This window comes from Homo sapiens, chromosome 13 (genome assembly GCF_000001405.40).
Source record: "Homo sapiens chromosome 13, GRCh38.p14 Primary Assembly".
Lineage (NCBI taxonomy): Eukaryota > Metazoa > Chordata > Mammalia > Primates > Hominidae > Homo > Homo sapiens.
This window is the reverse complement of record NC_000013.11, coordinates 90189085-90200341: the sequence shown is the minus strand read 5'-3', so window position 1 is coordinate 90200341 and position 11257 is coordinate 90189085. Positions and strand designations below refer to the sequence as shown.

Here is an 11257-nt window from a genome sequence, read left to right as displayed (position 1 = left end):
CAAATATAAAATACCATTTGTTCTCCTAATTTATTTAAAAGACATTTGCATGTTTGAGACAAAAAGTGTACCGTGGGGTTTAAAATATACATAGAGGCAGGGTGCAGTGGCTCACGCCTGTAATCTCAGCATTTTGGGAGGCCGAGGCGGGTGGATCCTCTGAGGTCAGGAGTTTGAGACCAGCCTGGCCAACATGGTGAAACCCAGTCTCTACTAAAAATACAAAAAAATAGCTGGACGTGGTGGCGGGTGTCTGTAGTCCCAGCTACTAGGGAGGCTGAGGCAGGAGAATCACTTGAACCTGGGAGGCAGAGGTTGCAGTGGGCCGAGATGGAGCCATTGCACTCCAGCGTGGGCAACAAGAGTGAAACTCTGTTTCAAACAAACAAATTAATTAATTAATTAAATATACATAGAAGTAAAATCTACAAATTCATAGCAAAATAGGCAGTGATATTTAGAATTACATCATTGAAGGGTTTTCTTTATATTTCATGTAAGTTGTCATGACATTAATTCTAAATTATTTGTGTCAATATTTTCTAAATTCTCACAAAGTTGATACTTAGCTAATACCATTTTAGTTACATAGGACTTTAGTTCATTGTATATGGTGACAGTCTTAAACCTTGAGATGTACTTGTCTCACAGGACCTGGTTAAGAAAAGCTACCCTAAGTTAAAAAAACAAGACATTCTATTCTTACTCTACTTAATCTTCCTGTGGAACTTCATTCATTTCTACAGTTTCAACTAGTATGCATATATTCCTATCTCTTAAATAGTGAACACCAGCTTACCTACTGAATATTTATCTTTGCTAATTTCACTTCAAAATCTAACATATACAAAACTTGCCATGTCATTTTCGTCTCCAATTATACTAAGTTTAGGTGTCTTACCTCAGGGAATGGCAACACTCTCCATTTGCTGCACAAGCCAGCTGCATAGGCAGCATCCTTTACCTGCCCCTCACCTATCCCTCATTTGGGATGTCACAGCAACAAGACCTTGGCCATATAACAATTGTTATAACAGTTATATATATATATATATATAAAACACTTATATATAACACTTATATATAACATATAACAACTAACACAATATCCGTGTTAGTCTTCTGAGGCCATAGAGCTGCAGTGTGGATGCATAGCTGCGTAATGGTAAAAAAAAAAAAAAATAGAATAAGAACTCAACTTACCTGTTTAACCCTGAATTATTATTATACAAATCCTCATAACAATGTGATATAATTTCTAATAGTGCAGAGACTACAGGCAATAGAAGGAACCCAGCTGGGACATTTAGGTGTATTTACTCCCCTACATTAACTCTGTTTACAATACTTAGGGAAGTTGACATGTCTTTACTAGAGAGAGAAGAAAAATTGTTCTTTAATGAGAACCCCCAGATATGCTATGGTTCTCTTCAACATATTGTTTTTGTTTAGTTTAGTTATTATTTTTTGTCAGATAAACCTATTTTATAATGATGTTTGGGATTGTTTTGATGTCCTATACAACATTTACTTCATCAAGCAAGTTGCAAATTGACCTTCCACTAGATGAAAACATCAGATGTTCAGCTTATAAGAAAGAACATTACAGGATCCTCAGAATGGGAAAGTATGCATCCTTCAGACAAATCGATTAATTAATGAGTACCCCAGATGGGAGTGGTTATGGTCAATGTAAGGGAAATTTTACCTTGGTACAGAAATATTTTAACCATATATATTTTATCCAATTACGTAAATGAATACACTGTGAATAAGAAATAACTGGGGATATATAAGCCCAACTCAACATGCCTTGATTTTATCCCGTGTTCTAACATCTTTTGATATAAACTTGTTTACAATCCCCAGAGTAAGAAGATTTTATGGGTTCTATAAAAATTAATTAGCCAAAAGAAAAATCTAATTGGTTAAGGGATACAAGAGACATTAACACCTATTAGATAGTTCAAGTCCTAGTGGTCGCAGATGAATCAATTTGTCTCTTTTCTATGTTAAATAGGGTAATCAAGGTTTATAGGACTGCACTGTAAACATAAAGGGTCAGTAACACCTTTTCAGACACATTTGTCCTTGCACTAAATTATGACCTTTAATTGGTAAATCTTAACTAGACTGTAAAATGAAGATCTTGATGCTTGGATGAAGGGGCCAAACAAATTATAGTCTGTTGGCAAAACCCTATGACATTAGACGGGGGATAAATCTCTTTCTTGTTGGGGGCAAATGAAGGTTTGTGTGAGGTTAAACTTCTTGCCAAAAGAAAAAAATACCTTTTCCCCTCATTGTACCTGTAATGGGCTTGACCAGAAATACTGCTGTTCCTGGGTTGATGAGAGTGATGTTACTACTGGTGTGACTCATTTGGTCAAATGCCTTTTATGGAGGCTACAGTGAAAACTTGCCAAACAGAGGAGCCCAGAGACCTTATACTTGGCTAGAATGAAAGAGAATGGAACTACTGGTTTTGCTTTTACTCATGCTGTTAGCCTCTCAGAAAAATGCAGAAGGAAAGTTGAAAACAGGTGAGCTGACACAGTCTTATCAGCAAAGTCACGCAAGGCTATATAGCAGCCTGATTTTCAAAGTGGTTGCAACGAACTGACAAAAACCTACCATCTCACAGGGAAGTATTGCACAGCCTTCCAAACTCTGTGATTAAAGAGTGACATCAGCTTCTGACAAAACTGCATCAAAATCTACTGATATCACAACTGCTGCTGCTGGTTTAACCGTACATTGGGCACTTCATGCTTTATCCCTACATTAAGAGTGGTTGCTGAATTGGACCACCATGATTGACTGACCACTTATAAAATAAGACTAAAACATATCCTGAAGTGACAGCTGAAGACAGGCTATTTGAAAGACTGAATAGAAAAGAAAATTTAAAAAAAGATTGCTTACCTTAAAACCCCAGCCCAGAAATAAAACCTAGTTATTTAATGAGTGGGTTATGGATAAACATTCAGATTTGATAAAACCCCAGATATCCTGATAATCTATATAAAAGAGAAATTTCCAAATGGGATGAAAATGATATAGCACTCTGTTTGATATGTTAACCACTGTATCAACTAGAAGTGGTTAAGAATGTTATGGGGTGATGCTATCTTTCTGAATTGACTTTGGAAGATCCAAGTACCTTTTTACAAAACAATTCCCCCTCTTTTAAATAAGGCATATAAAATCTCAATATCCTTCTCATGTAGAACTTACTCCTTGTGATATAATTGATCTCACTCCCTTGTGTATCTGTATTATAGGTTGTTTGCACTGCAATTTAAAATGTATTCTTTAATCATATGTTTTTGGCTAATTCACTGATGTATCAATAATTGAAAAATGTTGGAGATAATGTAATTATGAATAAAATAGTCATGATATTTTGTCCTCTTTTAGAATTGTTACATTTTTATTTGATATTTGAAATTTAGTCACATTATAAATATTACAAAACATAGGTATCTTAAAAGTGCCTGATAATTTTAATCCAGTGAAATAAGAAATTGCAGTATTGGATCTGGTTGTTCATTTGAAAGCCCTGCTTGAGTGCAGGTTTCTGTGCAACGGTAAGAAAAATAATTTAAGAATGTGGTACATCCATTGAAATATGACTTATTGTTAGAAAAATACCCATAGCAATGTGCCATAATGTTTAATAGTTCATACAAACCTGCTAATTGACAGAACAGAACTGGGACTTTCAGAGACATTATTTCTATTGTGCTACCTTGGCTTGGAATTCTTAAGGATGGTGAAAATCATTTATCAAAAATTGAAGCAGCTCTTTAACAGGAATTACCATTTATATTGTGGTTCTGGGTCTCTTCATTATTTTGTATTATTTTTTGTTAAGTAAATAGCATTTTGCAGACATTTTTGAAAGACATTGGGGAAAAAAGTCACAATGGGGAAGAACTTACATGAAATAAATTGGGAACACTGCAGCCAGGAAATGAAAGAGGCATCAGGGATAAGGCAGGAAATTATATCTCCAGAGAAACACTTGTGAAGGCTCATCAAAATACTGAGATTTATTCTTATGATTATAGAGCATCCTCCCCTTACACACCTTATAGCCAACTAGAGTAAGACACCAATATAATAACAGTGGATTATAGGTAAAAGAGAAAGAAGACACAGACTCTGTCTGAGAAAAACGATTAGAAAACCCAATGTCAAGAGGGAGACAACAACAAGGACACTAGAGAAATTTGTAGATTTTAGCACCTACAGCTACAAAAAAAGACTTTTAACCCAACCCAGCTCCTACCCAGATTAGCATAAAATTTCATGCTAAATGCCTGTTTATGTCAGTTCCCATTACCCAATACATCATGTCCAGCTTTTAGGAAAAAATTGCAAAGCATGGTAAAAGACAAGAAAAAATATAATCTGAAGAGAAAAGCACCCCTGACAACCAGACTCAATAATAAACAGATGTTGAAATTATAAGAGGGATAATTTAGAATAACTGTAATTACCATGTTAAAAGAAATAATGGGACAAAAAGTAATGAGAGAAAACAGATGGATGATGTGAGCAGAGAGATAGAAATTCTAATAAATGAATAGATAAAGTCCTAGAACTCAGCCAGGCACAGTGGATCATGCCTGTAATCCTAGCACTTTGGGATGCTGAGGTGGGTGGATCACCCGAGGTCAGGAGTTCAAGACCAGCCTGGTCAACATGGTGAAACCCCATCTCTACTAAAAATACAAAAAATAGCTGGACATGGTGGCACACGCCTGTAGTCCCAGCTACTGGGGAGGCTGAGGCAGGAGAATCACTTGAACCTGGGAGGTGGAGGTTGCAGTGAGCCAAGAATTTGCCACTGCACCCCAGCCTGTGTGATAGAGTGAAACTCTGTCTCAAAAAAAAAAAAAAAAAAAAAAACTGGAACTTAAAAACAGTAGCAAAAATGAGAAAAACTTTGATGAGCTCATCAGTAGACATGACATGTCTGAAGAAAGAATTAGTGAGCCAGAAGATACATAAATAGAAACATTCCCACATGAAAAACAATAATATGAAAAACAATAATAATAATAATAATAAACAATATCAAAGAAATGATATTGAAAGCAGTAGCCTACCTGCAATTAGAATACCAGATGAGAAAAAAAATAAGAGAGAAAGAGAGAGAGGAAAATGCAGAAAGAAAGAGAGAAATGAGATGAAGACATATTTGAAGTAACAATTAATGAAAACTTTTCAAAAATTAATGACAGACATAAAACCACAGATCCAGGAAGCTTAGAGAACAGCCAGCAAAATAAAAACCAAAAGAAACATAGTTATTAATAAGACATAACTTCAGAAAACCAAAGGCAAAGAGAAAATCTCAAAAGAGGCTAGGGGTAGTGAATGGGAAACTACCTTATTTATAGAAGAGGAAGAATAAGAGTTACAGCATGCTTCTTGTCAGAAACCATGCAAGAGAAAGGAAAGTGGAGTCAAATTTTAAAGTTTTGCCAGAAATAAAATAATGAATAAAAACACCAACCTGAATTTCTATATCCAGCAAAATTATCTTTCAAAGTTTCAAAAGAATAAAGACCTTCACAATTGAAAGTTGAGGTAATTCATCATAAGCAGATGTACACTACAAAATTGGTTAAAGAATTTATGAAGAAATAAAATAATACAGTTTAGAAACTTGGCTCTGAAGCAAGAATCAAACAATATCAGAGAAGGATTACAAAGAGTATCAGAGAAGAATTAAATAAAGATAACATTATTTTATGTTAACTTATTCCTAGGTGATCTAAAAGATAACTTTAAATTAACAATAGTAATGAGCTAAATGATTTTTTACATACAAATAAATGAAATGTCACAAGAGACAGAAAAGAGAAATTGGAAATATGCAATTATAGCAGGCCTGCCCTGTACTCTTAAGTATGAACTGCACATAGTTACTGTTTCAAATAGTCCAGTATGGAAAGTGGAGAGAAAGAGTAACTTTATACTAAAGAAATCTGAAAAACACTACTTTAGCCAGTTGATGAAGGTTAACAACAAAAGTGCTAATCCACATTGAAAGTATGTTTCCGTTATATGGTACCATGAAATTGCACTTTATTTGTATGATTTTCCTCACCCAAACCCATAACCCCAGTCTAATCATGAGAAAAACATCAGACCATTTTCAATGGAGGGACATTCTTTAAAGCAGTTCAACTGGTAATACTCAAAACTATCAAGGTCATCAGAAACAAGAAAAGTCTGAGAAACTATCACAGCAAAGAGGAGCATAATAAATACAAGTAAGATGATATTCTGGATGAGGTCCTGAATAAGAAAAAGAATAGCGGGGAAAAACTAATGAAATCTGAATAAAATATGAATGTTAGTTAAATAATACATTAATATTAGTTCAGTAATTATGGCAAATGTACCATACTAATGTAAGATGTGAACAATAGTCCAAACTGGGTTTGGGTATGTATGAACTCTCTGTCCTATTGTTGTGACATTTTAGGGGACAGGTGCTTAATTCTTTGGATAGTTTATCTTTTTAAAATTGAATAACCAAAGATTTTAACTCAACAGAGATAATATGATAGCTCAACAAATTCACTCAATGAAAATAAAAGCATTTTGTCATGAGACCAATAGCAAGAGATTTAGGAAGACTTGAGCAGAGTTATTTATATTTGACAGATCACTTCATTATTTACCAAATATACTACAAAAATATGTCCCTTTCGTTCATTAAGATTTTTATGAGGAGTGTTCTTTTTTATTAGTTAATGAGATTAAAGAAAATTAGATAAAGCTATTTGTGTTTCATTGCTACTACATTACCTATAACGAACCTAAATTTTGCCAATCTTGAGTGAGCCAAAGTAAATGTGTAGAATGTGGTATTTGAAGAGTTTTGAATGTGAATTTTGTGCTCTGAGGTTCACAGAAAAGAGTTACTTAATTATTAGTATTTAATTCTACACTGTGGCCCAGCAATCATACAAATACACTATTTTGCTGATATTATAGACCTCACTTGGAAAGCAAATTTCTGTCCTAACTTCTAAATTCTTGAGCGATTTTTAGTTTTATCTACAAGTACTGGCAGTAGCTTATAATTTAAAATTATATTTGTTTTGTCAATATCAAAATATTAATTAAAATATTTAATTAAAATATTAAAACCATAGATAACGGAATTACAAAATTATGCATTGTCAATATTTTGTTAAAAAATAGATATCATTAGGGAAAATAAATGAAAAATAATGAGAACTAATGTAGGTGTATTAGTCTGTTCTCACACTGTTATAAAGACACACCTGAGACTGCTTGAGACTGGGTAATTTATAAAGAAAGACAAAAGATTTAACTGGCTTATGGTTCTGCAGGCTCTGCAGGAAGCATAGCAGTATCAGCTTCTGGCAAGTTCTCAGGGAGCTTTCACTCATGATAAAAGACAAAGTGGGAGCAGGCATCTTACATGGCAGGAGCAGGACCGAGAGAAAGTGAAGGTGCCACACACTTTTAAACAACCAGGTCTCCTGACAAGTCCATTATGAAAACAGCACCAAAGGGACGGTGCTAAACCATTCATAAAACATCCACCACCATGATACAACAACCTCCCACCAAGCCCCACCTCCAACATTGGAGTTACAATTGAACATGATATTTGGGTGGGGACAAAGATTCAAACCATATCAGTAGGTATTAAAGTTTTATTAACGTGATATTTAAATAACTAAGAAGTAAATAAAAAGAGAATTTCACCAGGAATAGCAATGCATTAAATATTAAATTTAAACGTGAGTATTGTATAATATAACTTTTTAAAAATCCATAAAAAATTTAACAGATTAGTCTTTACAGATTTGTTAACTGAAAATGATATCAATAGACAATATTCAGATAGACAGTAAAATGTCAGAAACATAAAGAACACATGAAAAATAGCAAAAAATCTGATATATTGCAAGCTGACATAGTTCTAGAAGAAATTCTAGAAGATAAGAATTGAGAGAATACAAAACTTGTGTTTGAAATTTTCTCAAACTATTAAAGAATGTCAATCGTGAGATAGAGCAATCTTTAAAAATCTGAGTCATAATAAATAAAAAGGAAACTACATCTAAGCATGTCATACCGAAGTATGTGAACATTAAAAAAAGATAAAATTCTAAATGTAGGCTAGACAGAAATATTATTTTAAAGGAACAATGCTAAATTTAAGAAATAATTTTCCAAATGAAACAATGGAGCTCAGGAGACCCTGAAATTGCCATCTCAAAGGATGAAAAAATATCTTCCAACCCAGAAATCTAAATTTAATAAAGATATTCCTCAAAGTGAAATTTCAAGACACTTTTGGACAAATAAATATGAATTCGTCATCTATAGACCTGCAATAGTCATACTAATGCTGTTACTTCAGGTAGAAAATAAAGCATTCCAAATAGAAATATGAAAATTTTGAAGAAACTTAAAATCCTCAAACAGGCAATTATGTGCAAAACTCTTAGTGAATGCTGACTGAAGACAAAAACTTAAGTAATAATAGTAAAAATAATGCTGTCTTGTGTGATTCAAAATACCCGAAATGCTTGGGTTCGTACAGAATTATGACAGTTGCCTGATTTCAAATCTCTTAACATTTCCTCAAAAATACCATACGTATGGAACAATGCAGGACAAAAACACTAGACTCAGAAGTAACAAACTTTTACATTTGGGAGTGATACAGCTTGGAAGGAGAATATGTCCAGTGGAACTAGGAAGAAAGGGGAAAAATAGAAGCAGGTAGTAGAAGTTAAGGTTTCTACAGAAAGTAAAATTAATTGTAAAATTAAGAACATAATTGAAAAAGGCACCTATGAAGTGAGAGCTACAGAAAGTTATCAAAACCTTTAACTTCGGCCTATATACCCATTATTTCTGGTTCAGAAAAATGCAACACATTTAAAAGTGAGAAAGAAATTTATATGGTTTGGATTTGTGTCCCTGCCAAAATCTCATGCTGAATTGGAGGAGGGGCCTGGTGAGAGGTGATTGGATCGTGGGGGCAGATTTCTCCTTTGCTCTTCTCATGATAGTGAGTGAGTTCTCGTGATAGTGAGTGAATTCTCACAAGATCTTATGGTTTAAAATGTGCGGCACTTTCCCCCCATTCTCTCTCTCTCTCCTCCTCCACCATGGTAAGATGTGATTGCTTCTTCTTTCCCTTCTGCCATGATTGTACGTTTCCTGAGGCCTCCCAGTCATGATTCCTGTTAAGCCTGTGGAACTGTGAGTCAGTTAAACCTCTTTTTTTTTTTTTTTTCATAAATTACCCAGTCTTAGTTCTTTATAGCAGTGTTAAGAATGGACTAGTACAGAAATACACAGTCAAAAGGTATACATAGCTACTATAATAACACAACAATATAAAAATCAAAATGTTGTTAACATTAAGACATCAGCTGATAAAATTTATATCTAGACCATTTACAAAAAAAAAAAAAACAGAAGAAAACTAACACAGCATTCAGATCTAAATATTTACATACTATTTAACAGAACAAAGAGTTTATCAATGGGCTTAAATTTGTGATATTCAAATGGTTTGCCATATATCCACATTCCCGCAATGGATCATTGAAGCCTCATTTATGTCACTAATTATAAGATATACATTGAACCTGAAGTTAAGAGACACACTTATTAGTTTTAGTCTCCTATATCACTGGCCAAAGGCAAAGAAGGAGGTTACTATATGGGCTAGTATAGCTGGTCCTAATTATTATGGAGAAATTAGTTTGTTCCTATATCTTTGGTATGGGGCAATCTATTCATAGGTCACCTGTTAATACTTCCATGTCCACTAGCAAAAGTTAATGAAACATTACAGCTATCAATGCAAGTGTGGGTAGGATCACTGAGGCTACAGATAGTTTAGAGATGAAGGTTTTGTTCACCCCAATGCTCACATCACCTTCCTCCTTTGACAGAGGGTTCCCCATTATATTTTGCTATTTGGTGGCTTCAGATGGAGACTTGAAGGCCAAAAAGGGAAAAATGACTTACTTCTTCCAGTTTACTTGCTAGTCCTATAAGCTTCCCCCTAGCAATGGCCCTTGCCCTGACCTGAATCTCATCTCTATTAAGCCCTTCCTCTGGACTCCACAGATATCATTACTAGCTAGATAACACCTCTGAGGCCTACATCTTAGAATTTTGAAGTCTCTTAAGCAAGCTTTCAGGTTTTGATAAAGCCAATGTTATTTTTTTGTTGTTATGAAGGATAGCCTTCAGCTTGGCAACTACTTCCTGTGATTATTACATTGTGTTATACAACACAATTGGTACCTGTTGTGGGTGTGGGCAAGAGGCTCCCACCTATTCTTCTGACGAATGTGCGGTGGTGCTGCCAGATACTCCCTTGCTCCCCACCAAGATGGTCCCAGCTTTCCCTAAGCCCACACCCACACTCCAATTGGGGCAGAGAGTGGCAGAGTCACAGGCTGCTGATGGGCATTGCATGGAGCACCAAAAGTCAGGAAATAGGCAGCTGAGAACCCGACCCAGGAGTGGAAGGAGGCAGTGTGGAATAGCCATGTGTGAACCGAGACTCCAAGCCCCAGCATATGCTTCATTGTCTCATCTGACTTCACATACAAAGCACACATTCAAAGATAAAATTATTGTGAATTTCAAGATGGCAACCACAGAGCATTAAACTCTTTCTACATTGGGGTTTTGTGTGACTGCACTGGTTGCTTATCTACGATGCCAGCTCTGTACACTGGCAAGGTAAATGCAAACACTTTACTACTATTCAACAAGGAATGCAAATTGCACATTTTCAAGGTCTGTGTAATATGAATGAGAGGATGAGGTCTGATTAACTTTTTAATTGCTTCTACAAATTAAGTGCCTGTCTGGTACTTAGTAATTTTTTCCCTTGAATCATTTCCTCAGACTATCTGACTCAATTGCCAGAATTGCTCCATAAATTGCAGTTTTTTTGTTGTTTGAAAATCATAATGATTTTATAAGAATGTGACATCACTCTATATAAGTATGTTTATATCATGCATGTTGATAAGCTTACCAAATACTTAATGTGGTCTAGAACCATTTTATTTCTTTTAAATTTAATTAAACATAGGTATTAAAACTGATTTAATATAACTTTTATTTCCTTGCTTCTGTTTGCTGAATACATACATTTGTGATCCCTTATCAAAGGTAGTAGCTTTCTTTTTTACCTGATCACAGAATTTATACA

General features: G+C 34.6%; 1 annotated feature.

Moving 5' to 3' along the window:
• Nucleotides 230-453: a silencer, noted in NCBI's record as "fragment chr13:90852143-90852366 (GRCh37/hg19 assembly coordinates)". NCBI's record gives its function as "represses an EF-1alpha promoter that drives an FKBP-Casp9 reporter gene in an ReSE screen in K562 erythroleukemia cells {active_cell/tissue: K562}" and the evidence as "EXISTENCE:reporter gene assay evidence [ECO:0000049][PMID:32094911]".